At 39.1% G+C, this 19976-nt stretch overlaps 1 protein-coding gene across 5 annotated transcripts in view; it reads left to right on the top strand.

Moving 5' to 3' along the window:
* GOLIM4 (golgi integral membrane protein 4) overlaps positions 1–19976 on the top strand; it is an 87236-nt gene that overhangs the window by 34801 nt on the left and 32459 nt on the right. For all 5 annotated transcript variants that reach the window (NM_001308155.2, XM_005247365.4, NM_014498.5 and 2 more), the window contains exons 2-6: positions 12759–12833; positions 14125–14174; positions 16243–16296; positions 17595–17745; positions 19650–19732. In NM_001308155.2, the coding sequence (NP_001295084.1) occupies positions 12759–12833; positions 14125–14174; positions 16243–16296; positions 17595–17745; positions 19650–19732 (413 nt within the window). The remainder of the gene's footprint in view (positions 1–12758; positions 12834–14124; positions 14175–16242; positions 16297–17594; positions 17746–19649; positions 19733–19976) is intronic.

Below are 19976 nucleotides of genomic sequence, written 5' to 3'. Positions count from 1 at the left end.
TTGGCAAAAAAAAAATCAACTCTTTAATATGCTTGCTTTATTGGCAAAACTGAAGGTCATGTTATATTCAAACAATATGTAAGTTTAACCTCCATCATACTTTTTTTAGGTTGCTGCGATGACCTGCTAATGAATCCATTAACCTCTACTCTTTCTCAGATGCTCTATCTTCTACACATACAAAGTTAATTTTACAATCATGCAGATGTGATGAAGTTCTTTTTAGCCCTATCTCATTCATTCTTCCCTGCTGTTATTATCCACCTTTCCATCAATCCTATGCTAAACATAGTATTGACAAAACTCCCCTAGAAAAGCTCATGGGGAGTGGGTGAGGCACTCTTACTAAACTTTCAGATTGCCAGTAAATTCGGATTCAGTAGATTTGAGTTGGGCCCTGGGAATCTGTGCTAGTAACAAGCACTCCACATTCTTATTTTAGGAAAGTTTGAGGAATACCGCGGATTATTTTTGATTTTGTTTCATTGTTCCCACACATTCCCTATCCACTGTCTGGATTTTTCTCTATCCTTCCTGCATTGTCATCTGTCAACACCCAATCAAATGTAACCTCTGGGAGTCTAACTGGACTCTTCCAGGCTGAGCACATCACTCTATAATCATATCTTACTTCTGATCTTCCTCACAAAACTATGATGTCATTGGCCTTCCCCATCTCAGCTGATAACATGCAGTAGTTTGATCTTGAGTATAAATGTAGAATCTGAATATTATATGGCCTCCACAGCACGCACACTGGTCCTCTTCTTCCATTACCCTCATGCCTCAATTACTGCAGAACTAGTTTCCCTGCTTGCATCTTGTACCCATGCAGTCTGACTAGAGGGATCAATATTTAAAACCTAAGTCAACATCATTTCTGCTCAGATCTCTGCACTGGAGCTGGCATGGTGGTATGCACCTGTAGTCCCACCTACTTGGGAGGCTGAGGCTAAAGCCTAAGAGTTCATGTCCAGCCTAGGCAACATAGTGAGACCCCATCTCTAAGAAAAAAAAAAAAAACTCTCTAATGGTTCCCAATTTCTCCAAGAGTAAAATCCCAAGTTCTCAGTGGGCTCTGTGACCATTGCACTCTGCCCCTTCCCCTTCCCTTATGCTTTGACTTTCCGGGCTCACCCTGCCTCAGTCACTCTAGACTGCCTGTTTCTCTGAGGACATCCCAGTGTGCTTGCACTGTACAGCTTTCCTATGGGTTACTCCCTCTATTTTGGAAGAGTCTCCCCCTAGATATCTGTAGTACTGACTGACCCCTTCAGTCTTTCAAGTCTTGTCTCACATGTCCCCACTGAAATATCCTTCTCAGTGAGGCCTGCCCTCATCACTCTATTTTAAAATGCAGCCTGGCCCATTCTCCCCACGCCTCCAGTCTCTTTCGATCTCTTTTACTCTACTTCTTTAGCAATAATTACCTGCTAGCATATTATTTATTCTATTTATTATTTATCATCTATATCTCTCTGTGAGAATAAAATCCTCCTAAAGGCAAATTGTTTTTTATGTTTTACTTACAGTATGTCCCCATATATCTGAACAGTGCTTGGCATATAGTAGGGGCCCAATTAATATTTGTTTGATTTGTTGAATGAAATATTTGGGATGCAGTAGTAACCTTAAATAAGACTAAGAGATCTTAAATAGCATCTTTTTACAAGACTTACTTTTATGAACCTTTTCCAAGATATGTTGCATATTTTAATTTTGAAGTAGAACTTGAAATTGGAAGTTTGAATGAAGGTGAGTTAACTTGTGTGTACTGCTACATTGATTTGAAGGAGAAGACAGTGGTAGTTAGGTGCATTCCAACCTAGTTGAGGGTATTCTCTGCAATATGACATAAAACTTTTAGGGGTTAATACTTGAGTATTGGATTTTAGGTTGTTTCCTTTTTGCTAGCATTACTTGCAGCGTCCGTAAAGGCAAGTTCCTATTAAAAAATCAGACAACTTATGGAAATTAGATGTCTTTTAGGTTTGTTTCAAGCACATCAATTTTGAAAACTATTCATAGTTGCATTTTAAGAGCAGTGTGCTTTTGCATATTTTATCCATCTTAAGGGCATTCTTACACATGTTTGCATCAATTTTGGGAGCAAGAAACAACCCCCTCTTCTCTCGCTTCCCCTCTGCCTCTCTTTTTCTCTTGTGCATAATTTTCTGAAATACTATGATGCTGTCCAGCTGCAATCTGATTGCTAGATAAGAGGAATAGTACTATACAGGTTCTATTTATAGATATCTAATTTTAGAATAACTTTTATTTCTATTACTGTGAGTCCTTAAGTTTCCAATATATATGTATATACACTTATACATGTCTTTGAGAATATAGTATTTGCTTTGTAGAGTGCAGCCTTTTTATGGAAGAGGAGGATATTATTCCTCTCAGCTCTCAAAGAGATTCTGTTTAAGAATCTGCTGACTCAGCAGTTCATTATGTCATCCTAGCCTGGCTAACCTTTGGTGATCTCTAATTGTCTTATGTTTTACCTGTCTTAGCCTCTTCTCACAACGTGTATTTATTTGTTATAAGCTTTTGTATAAGAGTAACTCCTATACTTTGGTGTTTCCCGAGGTGCCTAGGCCATTGCTGGGTTATAACATAATAGCTCAGGGCAGCTAAGAGAAGAATCCTTTCATGAGAAGTGAATAGACTTCATCTGATAATGAGAATGATTATTAGTAGCTCAGCACTTGAAAGAATGCCAAAAAGAACAGCATGAAGAAATGTATGTTAAGTCAGCTCATATAATACTTATTTGAAAAAGCCAAATCTCAATTAGTGGCATGAGGAAAAGCCTGGGTATAGTTTTATCCACAAAAGAAAAGGCAGTTAAGCACCAATTCAAGTCATGGTTAAAATTTCCATATAAGCTACTTTACAAACCGTATGCATTAGCAAACTTAAAAATGGACACTTGTGTGAACTATTACAGTAACTTTATTGTACAGTAAAAAAATACTGCAATTGCCAGGCAGTAAAAAAATAGTTAATCTGAATGTTCTTTTTTTTCTCAGCATTCTGAAAGTGTCCGTATTTCAGGACTATTATTTAACTAATGCTAATAGTGTGAGCCTACACACCAACATATAAATTTAATCTCTATTCTGTTATCTATCTCTTTTCTGGGACATGTGGTACTAATGAGCCTACATATTTGGGAATTTAGTTAAAGTGCTGGGGCATAGAAGATGGCAGGGAAAGGTGGAAGAGAATGAAATCTCTTCCAAGTGCATTCAATCATTGAACAAGTGCTGTCGAATATCACTAGATATTAGGAACTGAGGGATTGAGACTGAAGTGGTAGTGAGGGGCTAGGATATAGATGAAAAGGAAAAAGGTGGCTAGTCCCAACCTTCAAGGTACTTAGTTGTTCATTACTTCACTCACTCACTCATTAATTTATTCAAGAAGTATCTATTGAATGCCTTGCTCTGTGTCCCCACCCAAATCTCATCTAGAATTGTAATCCCCATGTGTCGAGGGAGGGACCTGGTGGGAGGTGAGTGGATCATGGGGGTGGTTTCCCCATGCTGTTCTCGTAATAGTGAGGGAGTTCTTACAAGATCTGATGGTTTAAAAGTGGCACTTGCCCCTTGTAAGAGGTGCCTTGCTTCCCCTTCATCTTCCACCATGATTGTAAATTTCCTGAGGCCTCCCTAGCCATGCGGAACTGTGAGTCAGTTAAACCTCTTTTGTTCATAAGTTACCCAGTCTCAGGTAGTATCTGTATAGCAGTATGAGAATAGACTAATACATGACTACAATTCAGTGTACCAGGGTGTATTATTTCATTTTCATGCTGCTGATAAAGACATACCCAAGACTGGGCAGTTTACAAAAGAAAGAGGTTTATTGGACTTACAGTTCCACAAGTCTGGGAAGTCCTCACAATCATGGTGGAAGGTGAAAGGCATGTCTCACATGGCAGCAGACAGGAGAACTTGTGCAGGGAAACTCCTTTTTTTAAAACCATCAGCTCTCGTTAGACTTATTCACCGTCATGAGAACAGCACAGGAAAGACCTGCCACATGATTTGGTTACCTCCCACCGGGTCCCCCCCTCAACATATGGGAATTCAAGATGAGATTTGGGTGGGGGACACAGCCAAACCATATCATTCCACCCCTGACCCCTCCCACATCTCATGCCCTCACATTTCAAAACCAATTATGCTTTCCCGACAGTCCCCCAAAGTCTTATCTCATTTCAGCATTAACTCAAAAGTCCACAGTCCAAAGTCTTATCTGAGACAAGGCAAGTCCTTTCTGTTTATGAAGTTGTAAAATCAAAAGCAAGTTAATTACTTCCTAGATACAATGAGGGTACAAGCATTGAGTAAATACAGTCATTCCAAATAGGAGAAATTGGCCAAAACACAAGGGCTGGGGGCCCCACGCAAGACCAAAATCCAGCAGGACAGTCAAACCTTAAAGCTCTGGAACTATCTCCTTTGATTCCATGTCTCATATCCAGGTCATGCTGATGCAAGAGGTGGGTTCACATGGTCTTGGGCAGCTCCGCCCCTTTGGCTTTGCAGGGTACAGCCTCCCTCCCAGCTGCTTTCATGGGCTCGTGTTGAGTGTCTGTGGCTTTTCCAGGTGCATGGTGCAAGCTGTTAGTGGATCTGCCATTCTGGGGTCCAGAGGACAGTGGCCCCCTTCTCCCCAGTAGGGACTCTGTTTGGGAGCTCCAACTCCACATTTCTCTTCCACACTGACCTAGCAGAGGTTCTCCATGAGTGCCCTCCCCCTGAGCAAACTTCTGCCTGGGCATCCAGGCATTTCCATACATCTTCTGAAATCTAGGTGGAGGTTCCCAAACCTCAATTCTTGACTTCTGTGCACCCACAGGCTCAGCACCGTGTGGAAGCTGCCAAGGCTTGGGACTTGCACCTTCTGAAGCCATAGCCCAAGCTCTATGTTGGTGCCTTTCAGCCATGGCTGGAGCATCTGGGACACAGGGCACCAAGTCCCTAGGATGCACACAGCACAGGGACCCTGGGCCTGGCCCATGAAACCACTTTTTCCTCCTAGGCCTCTGGGCCTGTGATAGGAGGGGCTGCTGTGAAGACCTCTGACATGCCCTGGAGACATTTTCCGAATTGTCTTGGTCGTTAACATTTGGCTCCTAGTTACTTACGCAAATTTCTGCAGCCAGCTTGGATTTCTTTTCAGAAAATGGGATTTTCTTTTCTGTCACATTCATCAGGCTGCAAATTTTCTGAACTTTTATGCTCTGCTTCCCTTTTAATACTGAATGCCTTTAACAGCACCTGAGTCACCTCTTTTTTTTTTTTTTTTGAGACAGAGTCTTGCTCTGTCGCCCAGGCTGGAGTGCAGTGGCATGATCTCTGCTCACTGCAAGCTCCGCCTCCTGGGTTCACACCATTCTCCTGCCTCAGCCTCCCGAGTAGCTGGGACTACAGGTACCTGCCATCACGCCCAGCTAATGTTTTTTTTGTATTTTTAGTAGAGACGGGGTTTTACCATGTTAGCCAGGATGGTCTTGATCTCCTGACCTCATGATCCCTCCACCTCGGCCTCCCAAAGTGCTGGGATTACAGGCGTGAGCCACCGCGCCCGGCCCTGAGTCACCTCTTGAATGCTTTGCTGCTTAGAAATTTCTTCCACCAGATCCCTAAATCATCTTTCTCAAGTTCAAAGTTCCACAGATCTCTAGGTCAGAAGCAAAATGCCGTCAGTCTCTTTGCTAAAATATAACAGAAGCCACCTTTGCTCCAGTTGCCAACAAGTTTCTCATCTCCATTTGAGACCAGCTCAGACTGGATTTCAGTGTCCATATCATTATCAGCATTTTGCTTAAAGCCATTCAGCAAGTCTCTAGGGAGTTCCAAACTGTCCCACATCTTTCTGTCTTCTTCTGAGCCTCCAAGCTGTTACAGCCTCTGCTTGTTACCCAGTTCCAAAGTCATTTCTACATTTTTGGGTATCTTTTCAGCAGCACCCCACTCTACTGGTACCAATTTACTGTGTTAGTTTGTTTTCATGCTGCTGAAAAAAACATACTCCAGACTGGGCAATTTACAAAAGAAAGCAGTTTATTGGACTTACAGTTCCACATGGCTTGGGAGGCCTTACAATCATGGCGGAAGGTGAAAGTTACGTCTCACATGGCAGCAGACAAAAGAAGAGAATTTGCGCAGGGAAACTCCCCTTTTTAAAACCATCAGATCTCATGAGACTTATTCACTCTCATGAGAACAGTACAGGAAAAACCTGCCCCATGATTAAATTATCTCCCACTGGGTCCCTCCCACCACATGTGAGAATTCAAGATGAGATTTGGGTGGGGACACAGCCAAAGCATATCACAGGGATACGATAATGAGATAAAGTAATTCAGAAATTCTCGCCCTCAATCGAGGTTCTGTTCTTTTGTGATAGACAGGGAATTAATAAGTAAAAATTATTATTTTACTTATTTATAACAGTAATAAAAATTATTATTTTATAATTAATAAATTATGTTTAATTAATAAGTAAAAACAAAGCATGATGATCAGCACTAAAGAGAAAAATAATGTAGGAAAGGAGACGAAGTATTGAGGGCAGAAAGCTAGTTGCAATTTTAGACAGGATGTTCTGGGTGTGAACGCATCTTTCTAGTGAGGATCTGAAGGAAGTAAGGGAGCTAGTTGCTCAGATACCTGGAGCAAGAGCAGTGAGGCTCAAGGAAAGGCAGTAGGAGGGGCTGAGGGGAAAGTGTGCCTGGCATGTTCAAGCCTAACAGAGAGGCTGCTGGGGTCGGGCAGGATGAACGATGGGGTAAGGCCCTGTGAGGGCCTTGTGGGGTTTCACTCCCGATGTGGTGAGAAGCCACTGGGAGGTTTTGCCCCCCCAGGCCTGGGCCTTGAATGTGTGGGAAAGGGCTTATTAAAAATTAAATTCAGCCATAAATTATGAAGCAGACTCAAAAGATTGAATTTTATTGAAGGAATGAAACTGGAATTGAGTGAGAAGTAAAATCTGGGTTTCATGGTTTGGGAGTCATCTGTGAGAGGTTGTAGTTAAATTTTGAAGATGGATGCAGAACTCTGAGGAGACGTTTTTGAAGGAAACGAGAGGAGGAACCAAAGTCTGTGCCCTAGCGATGTCCTTCCCTACTTCTGGGCACTGGAGGGAGAGTCCTGTGTCAGCCTTAAAATGGTAATAGTGGTCCACCTCCTTTTTCTTTTTATTTCTTTCTTTTATGGGGGTTGTTTTCTAGGAGATCTCCAGTATTCTGTCTTAGACTTCTTGTAAGGTAAAATTATGGAAGAAGGAAGGAAAAGTAATTGAAAGAATGCATGATGTTGACTTTGTGTTGACCCATCAACTTGTTCTTTTATGGAGGAATGGGATGGGCAGGTGGCTGGCTTCCACCCCACCTCTGGTGATTTAGAATTACAACCAAAAACTGTCACATAAAGGCTCTTAATTTCTATGACATTAGCCCCAAAGAAACCCTCAAAAGTATTGAAGTCTGAGACGTATATTAATTTCAATTTATTCTCCTTTTTGTGTCATCTTTCTTAGTATTAAGCTTAAACATTCTTCAATCACAATTATCAAAAGCATACTTTGTTCATTTTAATTTTTGTTTTATATATAAGAAGATAGAGGTACTTGCAAATCTCAATGTTTTCACAAGTTGAATTGTGTGACTTTCATACCAAGCTTCTGTTGTTTGTTGTTTGTTTTTTAAAAATAAAACATTATGTTATAGTCGGGACCAAAAACAAAATTTCACAGGCTATTTCTTCTGCCAAAGAAACATTGCCCTCTCTTGGTTTAAGATGTCAAAACACTTAGCAGTGTTTTCTGCCTAATTTTGGAGTGTTGCTTTCTGATTATGAATTGGAGCAGTTTGCCTTGAAATTGCATAGATATGCATTTTGCCCATAAGTGAATGTATACAGCTGATTTCTCGTGTGACTTTCAAATGGAAGTCAGAGTTAAAATGGAAAATTGCTGTAGGAAGCTGGCACGTTTTTAAACTCCTGAGTGCTTTTGGGGGGAATAGAACCTCTTTCCATTCCTGGTTGCATGGAAAATATTAAACCCCTTTTAAGTAAGCAGGAGATGAGATGAGTATTATGGATTTTCATCTTTTTCTCCTGAGTTCTTGGATTCAAATCCTATTCCTGTTGCAGTGTTATTCTGCATTAAAGATCTTGACTGCTGAGATTGAACCATTATTTTCATACTTATTTTTCCTTAAACTTGTTTGGTGCTATGAGAATATTCAATATATAGCTTTTTGTTGCAGAGATTTTAGCAGCATTAGTTCATCTTGACTGATGCCCTTGACTTCAGAGTATAAATAGAAAAATAGAGATAGGTGACAAGGATTGATTAGCTATCCTCATTCTAAGTGAAACAGTAAACCTAGCTAGATAAATCACAGCTCAAAAGCCTGGAGAATGCATGGTAAAAGAAAGAAAGGTAGTGCGTATGTGTGTGTATGTGCTTAATAGTGAAGTTTTCTAAAAGAGGTACAAGCACAGAAATTCTATATGGTCTGTTCTACTGTCTTTCCGTTTTTATTTTCAAAAACTTAAGGGTTTAAATAACATATGGAATTATTATTTGCTTTTTCTTTTATTTAAAGAAATTTTTTAAGTAAAAGAAAACTGAGACCAATGTCATTGCCTTTTTAAGTCAGATATATGTGTGTGTATACATCTGTGTGTGTGAGAGAGAGTGTGTGTGTGAGAGAGTGTGTGTATGTGTATATATATATATATGCACATATATGCATATACACATACATATGATTACTTTGTTATTAGACTTTAACTGTAGGGTTGGAAGGGCTCAGGGGAGATCGCCTGATTTTTTTCTCTGGCACTTTTAAGCTATTTAAGCATTTTAATAGTGTTTACTCTGTGCCAGGCAGTATTCTAAGCACTTGATATATATGAACTCATTTAACTCTGACATTCAGCCAAAGAGATACATCTATTATTATCCCCACAAACCGTACAAGGAAACTGAAGTTCACAGAAGTTCAGCAGCTCACCTCATGAGAAATGAAGCTGGGATTTTAACCCAGGCATCAAGGCTGTGTCTTCAGCCCTTATATTAGCACCTGCCTCTCTCCCTCTCCTCCTCTTCTTTCTAGATTTTTCAGTTCGAAGGGCCAGTTTTCACTCTGACTTCCCTTTACCTGATGTGGTTTCTTCAGCCTATAGTTTGAGCCTTTTTCAGTTTGTTTTCCTTTATTCTTTTCTTGAGCCTGGTGAAGAACAACCCTTCTCCATGTCTCCATCCGTCACCGCTGCTCCATTCTTTCACCCTCCTCCTCCTCGGTGATATTCTCCAGCCTTCAAACCATTTCTGAATTCTTAAGTTACATTACATCAGGATTAGAAGCTGCTGTTATAACGACGGCTTGTCCAGTTCTGAGTAAGATAGTATTAATAGCACAATTACCTCATAGTTTCTACATATATATACTCTATTCCTGTTTGCCACATCTTTTTTCTCCTGTATTTGCAAAAATACATTCTTCTTGCGTTAACAGTTTGCTATTATGATGCCATGCATGTAATCATGAGTATTTCTCAGCTTTTCTAAGACCTTTGAATTTTAACAATAATTCGCAAACACGCTTGCCTTTCTGTGGACATTTTATGGGATTTATTCAGGTTATTTATGAAAGTTTATAACTGTGTCCTATGATCTCCTGGCTCTTGAGACACACTGCTGTTAATATGTCAAATATGTAAATTTCCATTTAGTGTGGAACTGTCAAAGACAGTTGTATGATTCAGTTTGATAAATGGGTACTTTGGGCCAGCTGTCAGGGTATTATCTTCCTGACTGAATCCAAGGGAAGAGAATAAAGAATGGAATACCATCCTGCACCCAGCACTCTTCACCCATATCCCCCACACTCCCTCTCTACTTGGTTTCATCTAGCAGAGCCTCCATTCTCTTACTGAAGATGAAATCATGCTGATGAGTTCTGTCCTTCCTAAGCCAAAGATAATTATGACCTGATTATCTGGTACCACACAATATTAAGTTTGCAAAAGTGAGTTTACCCTGATTGCTGCTGCATTGTATTAAGTAAACAGCAATTCCACCAGATTGTAATTTGTAAATTCAGCTTTTTTCCCCTCTATCCTTGACCTTCTACAATAATGTTTAATATTTAGTCTGAGGTGACTGGGGTGGGTGATGAACAGTCTGCCTTGTATGTTTTTCTTGACTATGCTGCTAGGTTTTATTATTATTATTATTATTATTATTATTATTATTATTATTATTATTATAGGTGTTGCTAGGTTAGAATTGTTTCCGCCTATACTGGGGACTTTGCTGCTGTAGGATCTTGGATAGTTCACCTGTTCCTTTCTTTGAAAGTTTTGCATGATTGCTGAAATTCAGTCTATAATATGTCCATTAGTGCAATCAGATTCACTTTTAACTGGCATATTTATGCCCTTATAACTTTCTACCCAGACGGTGAGAACTTTGGCCAGTGGATTGGCGGTGAAGGGAGTGTTTTTCCTTCCAGCTGGGGAGCTTACGTGTTCCTGAGCATCCTATTCTTGCCTCTGTTTTATCATGATAGTATTGTAATTTAGCTCTTTCCCTATATGTTTCCCCCACCTCAGTGAAATTCTCAAAGACTGTGAGTGCACAGTTCAGGGCCTGGCTTCGTGATGTTCTATAGGGCTAATCTTACACTTTCCTTTCTTTATTCCAAACTTAATTTAAGATGGGGCTATTAGTAGTAATCCAAGGAACCTCTTAGTTTTGAAAGGATTTTAGTAATTGTCCAAGGGGCTTACACTCCATACATGTATATGTTTGAAAAAAAATTACTTTTTAGCAGTGGACTTGGAACCAAACTTTTTGGAACACAACTATTTTTATCCCAGTTTTACACTTCTGTCCAGGTACATGGTAGAGATGCCATAGATATAGAGTTATATTGAATTCCTTTATAATAATAATGCAGGGGGAAAGGATCATCTGGTGAATGGAAAAGGAACCCTGGTAGAGGAAGGGGATGGGGCAGGGATTATTGCAATGACTGCCTACGGATGAGGGAAAAGTTGAGATTGGGGTATGCATGTCATCAGAGGACCACACCATACAAATTTGAGTGGTCACAGGCATTCTAGGAGTTAGAGACGGAGATGTTAGCAGAGGTGTGAATAGAGGTAGGGTCTATCGTGATAGTAGATGGAGTCCTGAGAATGGAAGTTTTATATGGGATGACAAGAAAAGACACAGTGTGGGGAGAAGCTATAGAACGCAGGAGATGATGGCCAACCTGAAAAGAGGACAATGGTGGTTGTTGGCCATCATAACAATGGAGAAAGGGCAAGAAGAGAGGCAGGGAATCCCTTAAGCAGCAAGGGATTGCTGCAGGGATGGGGAAAGGGAGTTTTCTGGGACCCTGATGACTTTGGCAGCAGCCAGTAGTGTTGGGGCTGTTCTGTGAATTGTATATGGTCAACCAGTGATTGATGCTTAAATTGTATGTAGTCACGGGGAGCTTGTGACTGGCCAAAGAATGGAGTAACACGTTTGGCTTAGCCTGCCAAGAATGAGATCATATTTGACCATAATGCTGAACAAACAGGATTCAAAGGGTAGATCAGAATTTTAATTTACTCTGTTCTCTCCCTCGGTGCCTATTCAAACCATTTTGTGGAGCTGAGTTTTCTGTTCCTGGATGAAATCTTAGACAAACTTGTTTGCTTCACTAACTTCTCTCAGATTAAAAGCAAAAAATAGTTCAAAACTTGTATTCATAAACACACAGTCTTGGTTCATTAATTGTTATGTCTGGTCTAGTCCAGGACAGTTAATTCAAAGGTAAGGCTTCTCCCTCCTGTCCAGCTTCTGCTTGCTGTAGGTGTGGAGCCTGCAGTGGGAAGGAGTGTTGTGGTATGCCTCTTCTCCCTTGTTGTCTGCCAGACATGTCTGCTCTTCCTCCCCTGCTCACCAGGCGACTCTGGATTCTTCAGAGTAGACTGGGTGGGGAGGGAGGATAAAGGGCAGAAAGGTCTTACAGAACCGAACATCGGTTTGCCGCTGGTTTCTTCTGGCTGTGGCTGATGGTGAACCTGACTAGTTCTTTTGTGGACCCTTTTATAAATTCTTTGGAGAGTCCCTTCCTTCTCTATTTCTGTGCTTCTCTAGTCTGTTTTCCTTGACGTGGGAGGAGGGAGGAGATACACCTCCTCTTTCATTCCAGTGGTATGCTGCTGAGGTCTCCTTATGGATCCAGGCAGCCTTAATTCAGATGCAGATCATGTTGACTTTGTAGTACTTATGGAATATTTAGGAGAAAATACCCTTCTAGAGTCAGAGAGAAGCCAGAGGTGGAAGTGTAGATGTGGGGGTAACTGCTTTGCAGATGATGGTTAAAAGTCAGGAGATTGAGCAAGGTTGCCCAGGAAGACAGGAGGAAAAAGATCTCAAAAAGACACTTGCATTTAAGAGGCCTAGAAGGAAATGGAGCTGGCAAAGAAGGTGGAAGCATCATTCAGAGTACTGGCTTTAGAAAAGGGCAGGCTGGATGGGAGCCAGCCCAGAATAATGCCTATTAGTATGTCTGTTCTTTACCTGGAAAGGGGAACTTAAAACACATATGTTTTTATTTAAATTGTGTAAAGACTCTACACTGTTTTCTTCCTGTTTTAAAAATTGATGTTAATTTTAGTTTTAAATTTCTAATTCTTTGAAGACAAAAATGTTAACTTTTTTTCCAGTTGTATATGAACACAGATCAAGATTAGAGAAATCCTTGCAAAAAGAAAGACTTGAACATAAAAAAGCAAAGGAAGGTAAGTAAATACATAATTTGTGTTCTGTGTTTTTCCAGTACTCTTCTTTGACGTATCATATACTTGGTTTACAATTTTTTTTTGGCTAAGATCGTTCTCAAATCAACCCAAAGTCAGATAGGTGGACAGAGAAAGACATGTCAAGTAATATATTATGCATTGTGCAATAATCCCTATACAAGATTGGATTTAGAATACTGTATTCAGTTTATGCCACCTTGTGATAGCTCATATATTGGTTACACTTATTATTTCAGGAATAACATATAATTTTTCATCTGCATATTAAACGGGTATATTACTTACACCTGGAACTTCTGTCCACAGATATTGAGGGGGCTGGGGTTGGGGGGGAAGTAACAGGATGCATTGTCCAGAATATGACAAATTTTATACACATACATATATATTTATACCGTAATGAATTGATCCCATTGTCCATTATATTTTAAGTTATGCACCTGTTTTTACCTTGTGAAAGTTTTTATTGACACATCAGTTGATTCAGTTTGAAAGTTTACATTTAGGACAGCCACTGGGCAATGCTGTCAATTTTTATCAGAATTTTTCCATAAAACACAGGCCTTATACAGCTGATGATTTGAAGTTATCTGCATTCTGATATTTATTTATTCATGTTTTATGATAAATCTTGAAATTTAAATTACGTGTTCTGTCTGCCTACCTTGGTAGGAAGGAAGAGGATAGCAGAGGAGGGGCAGTATTGGTTAGGATGTTTTACTGACCCTTGGATTGAGCCTGTGTGAAGAATAGAAGTTCAGCATCATTAAATGCTTTGATAAGATTTGGAGTCTCCTTGCCTTCAAATGCAGAGTGATTTTATAGAGCCATCTAGTGGATAATAAGGTTTTCAAAGCATTAAAGATGGCTTGGCTGGCTTGATTTCTGTTTTCAGGAACTGAATGATTTTAGTGTGCCATCTAGTGGATAGCAATAAATCACCTTTGTCTTCAGATGTGCTCCATTTTTTCCCTCCTAAATTTCAAGGAGAGTTAATCAGAGATATTCTAAAAGCACTTTTAATCAATTGGCTATAATTTGGATTTTGTGGATGCAAGATTTACAGCTGTAAGGTAAAGAGGAAGCTGTATGTTTTTTCCAATTCTTTCTAAAGCAATGAGAGCCAAAATAAAGTATGTAAATCACCAAGTAGATTGTTTTAAACCTAAAACACTTTTGTAAGCATGAGTGAAGTTTGCCTTTATTTCTTTAGATGTTTAAAATCTGTGTAGTGAATTATCACTGTTTTTTTCCATCTTGTATTTTCTAGATTTTCTTGTTTATAAGTTAGAAGCACAAGAAACATTAAATAAAGGAAGGGTAAGTTTTGTTTTTTTTGTTGTGGTTGTTTGTTTTCCTTAATTTGTTTTCATAAAACTTGAAAGAGAGAGAAATACAGTTGCGAACTCTTTTACTTTTTGATCCCTGGGATTATAGGACTGACACCCCCTTTTTTTTTTTTTGGCTGCCAAAAAATTCTAAGAGGAAGACTTTAAACTTACCTTTACTTATCACATTGTTGATAATAGGGATAAACTGGGAATAACCTTAATGTTCAACTATAAAAAGAAGATTATTTCATTTATTTGTTTGCAGTCTCTCTTTTTTATAGAATGTAAGATTTATTTTGGTTTGCCTTCACATGTGTAACATGCAACACAGGACCTGGCCTAGAGTTTTCATTTAAGAACATTTGTGGAATGGGTGAAGGGATGAATGATACTGGCATTTAAAAATATTTTACTTGAAGGCAGCATGCTCGTTAAGAGTCATCACCACTCCCTAATCTCAAGTACCCAGGGACACAGACACTGCGGAAGGCCGCAGGGTCCTCTGCCTAGGAAAACCAGAGACCTTTGTTCACTTGTTTATCTGCTGACCTTCCCTCCACTATTGTCCTATGACCCTGCCAAATCCCCCTCTGCGAGAAACACCCAAGAATGATCAATAAAAAAATAAAAATTAAATAAATAAATAAATAAAAATATTTTAAAGTCCAAATTAACTGGATAAAAGCTACTCTTTTCTTACTCTAAGAAAAGTATATAAGCATTAATTGAAAAACATTGATATTTTGGGGTATTAAAACTAAGAAGAAGCCAAGTGAGTTGGCTCACATCTGTAATCCCAAAACTTTGGGAGGCTGAGGCAGGAGGATTGCCTGAGGCCAGGAGTTTGAGACCAGCCCGTGCAAAATAGCAAGACTTCAAAGTACAAAATATTAGCTGGGCGTGATGGTACACATGCCTCTATTCCCAGCTACTTGAGAGCTGAGGCAGAAGATCACTTGAGCCTAGGAGTTTAAAGCTTCAATGAGCTATGATCCCACCACTCTACTCCAGCCTGGACAACAGGGCAGACCCTATCTCAAAATAAAAAAACTGAGAAGAGTCACTTCTTTGGATAGCCCAGGAGGCCATCAGCTTTCAACTCTTGCTTGCTTTTAACAGCACTAACCAAAGCTGTGTGCACTTGTAATTTCCTTACAAATTAAAGCAGTAAAGTGAGGAAGCAAAAATGCAGTTCATTTTAGAAGTTTTTAATAAAAATATGAAAAAAAATGCATGAGTGTATACTTGTGCTGGCAGGGTAAAGTGAGGGATATGGTACCTAAACATAAACAACATAGCATAGAGAGGGAAAAGAATCAGGTGTGTTTTGCATACTGACTGGTTATGGCTGCCCGGGACTATTGGGTCCATATGTGAAGATACCCCACAGGAACACAAAGATATACCCCTGGAACCTGGAGCTCAGGACACGCAGTTCAGCCAGAGACTTAGGCTCAAGTTTCAATCCTGGCTCTGCTACTTAATGAAATATTTGCTCTTGGCAGGTTCCTAATCTTTACTCAGTTTCTCACTCTGCAAAATAGAGCCTCACTGGGGTAAAATCATGTATATAGAATTTCTTACCCGCTGAAGTTCAGGGAAAGAAAGTGCCTTTTCTCTTCCCCCTTTAAGCCATGCTCAGCTTGTGAGGCCCGCTCCTCATCGGTTTATTTCTTCTTCCCTCTTACCTCAAGCACCCAGCGCATATATTAGCCCTGCGCGGTGACTCTGTGTCTCAGGACAAGTTCGTATGTCTGGGCTCCAGTTCTTCTGAATATGAAAGTGGAAGGAAATCATCTCTAAGGGCTCTTTCAAGCTACTGTTTTATGATTTCATATCCTGCTTTTTTACTCTAAAATCTAGCAAACTAAGGGGAATGTTAAAACTTCATTTCTGTGTTAAATCGATGGCTCCAGCGACATCTTGGTTCAAATGTAGAATTCATTTTACTGTACACAAGTGAAATAAATAAAGTTATATTTTAAAGTGCTTTAAGCTGTATTTAACAAGAGAGCCATATTTATCTTTGTGTTTTCTTTTTTTTTTTTGATTTACAGCAAGATTCCAATAGCAGATACAGTGCACTGAATGTCCAACATCAGATGTTGAAAGTGAGTAATCTAAAGTTGTTATTTATGAATAAAAGAAAGGATTAACTAATACTTGAACTGACTAATGGCCTTTAAAGTGATTAAAGAAAGTTTACAGAAGTTGATTTGTATTGTAATATGGCATTTTAAAATCTTATTTGGCTAAAAATTATATATAGTTGTAATGGCTTGTCGTATTTATCACTCGATTACATAGAACATTTTAATTATTACACATTTTCTTGCAAATCAGGCTCTCGGTTACCTCATTTTTAATTTTCTTCTTCTCTCTATCCATTAGGGTTTTATGTTCATTTACTTTCTCACAGTGGTTTTCCTTAGACATTTTCTTTTATCTTACACAGATTGGAGGCTGTAGAACTATTAAAATGCTTCCTTCTTGTTACTAATATTTAATAAATGTCCTTTTACTTACCACAGGAACACAAATTATTATTTAAAGATTCTGCTTCCTTGGTCCTTGAGTAAAACTCATTATTCTGTGTCAGGAAGAGGATCATTGTTTCTGTCAAGCTGGAAGAGACGGGCAGCATGCAGTTATGCCCTTCTCGCAGGATGCAGATCATGCCGGCATCTCCACCCCACCGTGCCTCCCCCTCGCTTTCTGTTTGCTATTGTCTTTCCCTCTGATATCAGTAGGGCATGCACTTTTTATTGAAACCGGAATCTTTTCTTATTATCAAGAGAGCAGTAAATGAATTAAAGCAAACCATGCTTTCACATTAAGCACTTGGAGACTGTAGTGTTTATCTAGATCATGATTACATTGTAGGATTATAATCGGAAATAAGGTAAATAAAAGTCAATTCTCTAAACAGTTGATTACTATTCCCAAAGGGAAAAGTCTCATTTACTCTCTCTCTTTTAAACTGAGTTACCAGAAAGGCTGAAATACCAAAGAAGGAAAATTAAATGCATTGCTGGGAAAACATCAGATCGAAAGAGGAAATCCATAATACCCAGGGAGGGATAATTTTGCCATTAGCTTTACCTTGTTTCCACAGTAATATGTGTCCCTGGGAATTTTCCCACATTTTTTCCCTTTCCATCTCTCATGCTAACTTCTTAAAAATTAAGGGGAAAATTATTTTTGGCTGTGATCCCAACTGTTCATTTGAAATCCAGGGGAAATGGAGGGAAGCTGCACAAATTAAAGCAACTTGAGAAAAACAAAGCCTATTTCTTCATGTGTTTGTGCTTGCTTGCTTTCATTTGTTTTTGTTTACTGTGCTGTCAAGAAATAGACTCTCATATAATTCAGAGAATGTATATTTCTACTCAAGTTTTCATCTTTGCAGAGCCAACACGAGGAGCTAAAGAAACAGCACAGTGACTTGGAAGAGGAACATCGCAAACAAGGGGAAGACTTCAGTAGAACATTTAATGACCATAAGCAAAAATACTTGCAGCTCCAGCAAGAAAAAGAACAAGAACTTTCTAAGCTAAAAGGTATTTGGAAATCTGATTAGCCAGTTTATCTCTAAATAAGTACTGATATTAATGTTTCAGTGCAACTGTAGACTGTTGTTTTGAGTGGTGATCGATTTACATTTATCATGTGGTCCTTTACCAGTCACTTTTTCTTTGTAATGTTTCACATGTATCTTCATCTATTTGGGTTGGTTTAGGGAAGCAGAATAGAATATGTCGTGTGTTCTGTTGTATCGTAGTGTATTCTCTTGTATCTCAGTGGGGCACATGGCCCTGTTGGGCAAGACGATTCTTCTCTTAACTGGGTTGCGAGACAGATAGCATCTCTGATCCTTACCTACTAAATGCTATAATGCTTCTCAGTTATTGCCACAATCAAAAATTGCTCCATATATTTCTAAAAATCTCCAAGGGAGCAGAGACTTGCTGTTGATCGCCAGTAGTAACTGAAAAAAGCTCAAGTTCTATAGTCAGACTGCCCAGGTGAATCTTGGCTTCTTCACTAGCTATGTGACCATGGGTAAGTTGTGTGACAACTGTGGGCTTCATTGTCTTATCTGTGAAATTGAGATAATCATAAAAATATCAACCTTGTAGAATTGGTGTGAGAAATAATTTACATAAAGCATGTAGAGTAGTTGCTCATAAATTTGCTACCCATCAACATCTGTGTCAGGTATTTTCATAGTAATATGAAACAAAATATGTCACTTTTCTGAGTGCATGTGAGTCCTGGAGAAAGAAACCAGTGCATTCTGCAATCAAATATTTAGGTGAACTCCAGATTAATCACAAGACACACGTCTTCCCCATTTCAACCGGGGACGGTGGCTCACGCCTGTAATCCTAGCACTTTGGGAGGCCAAGGTGGGTGGATCACTTGAGGTCAGGAGTTCGAGACCAGCCTGGCCAAAATGGCGAAACCCCATCTCTACTAAAAATACAAAAATTAGCCGGGCATCGTGGCACATGCCTGTAATCTCAGCCATTCGGGAGGCCAAGGCAAGAGACTCGCTTGAACCCGGGAGACGGAGGTTCTTACAGTGAGCCAAGATCGCACTAAAATTAAATGCATTGCTGGGGCACTGCATTGCTGGGGCATTGCACTGCACTCCAGCCTGGGTGACAGAGAGAGACTCTGTCAAAAAAAAAAAATAGGTGCTAAATAAGTTTAAAGTGAGATAATTGGTTTTAAGAGGCATATGGTGCATGCAAAAACAGTGGTCAAGCCCAAATCAAGTTTGTAGTCTAGTTCACTGTACTGACCCCAACAGTTTCCTGGTTTTGGTAATGTACTGTATTTGTATAAGATGTCATCATGATGGGAAGCTGGGTGTTGTGTCCTTAGGACCACTCTATATGTTTTTTGCAACATTTCTCTATAATATAGCATTTCAAAAAAAGTAAGTTACAACAAAAAGTCATGCAGGAGTTAAATAGTCTTGAGGCAGTACTACAAAGGGTTAAGGGTCTATACTTTCTGATTATTTTATTTTTATATATTTTTAAAATTTTAAATTATTTTTAAAAATTTGACTGAAATGCTGAAGCTTTGTTTTTAATTTGTGAAGAGACTCAAATCTGAGTACACCTACGCATTATATTTTATTCCTAAGGGTATGCTTATTGACATTAACATCTCATTTTTAATTCCTAGGTAACAAAAATTCCTTATCTTTTGTCTGTCATGCAAAAGTTGTTTAAAAGCATTTAAAGTACTGAACCAGAGTGGATTGAGATGTCCAGCTAAAACCATGCTACATCCCAATACAATATCATTTTTGTTGATTTTGAATATTATATTGTCTGAGTTCAAAATAAATTCTAAAATAAGTTATAGGTGGCTTTAGATATGAAAATAATAGAAACAGAATCCTGAAAGTTTCAAGGCTTTATGTGTGATCCTTCTTTTTCTAAAATAGAGACTGTATACAATTTGAGAGAAGAGAATAGACAACTAAGGAAAGCACACCAAGACATACATACACAGCTTCAAGATGTCAAGGTAAAAGAAAACCAAACGTTTCACTATTTAGTGTTTGCCTGCTTTATTTGGTAGAATGACTTTAAAAAGTCATTCCCTAATTGGCCTGCTTTACAAATCCACGTTGTTATTGTGGGCTTTGCATTAACTAGAGTGTACCTAATATTTTTACCACTTCAGCATTGTAAGCTAAAAGATGGTCTGAAAATCTGAATATTCTCATTAGTACTGAAATTATTCTCATGCTAGTTACATATTAATAAGC

This window comes from Homo sapiens, chromosome 3 (genome assembly GCF_000001405.40).
Source record: "Homo sapiens chromosome 3, GRCh38.p14 Primary Assembly".
NCBI lineage: Eukaryota > Metazoa > Chordata > Mammalia > Primates > Hominidae > Homo > Homo sapiens.
The sequence above is the reverse complement of the archived record's forward strand: the minus strand, read 5'-3'. Positions and strand labels throughout refer to the sequence as shown.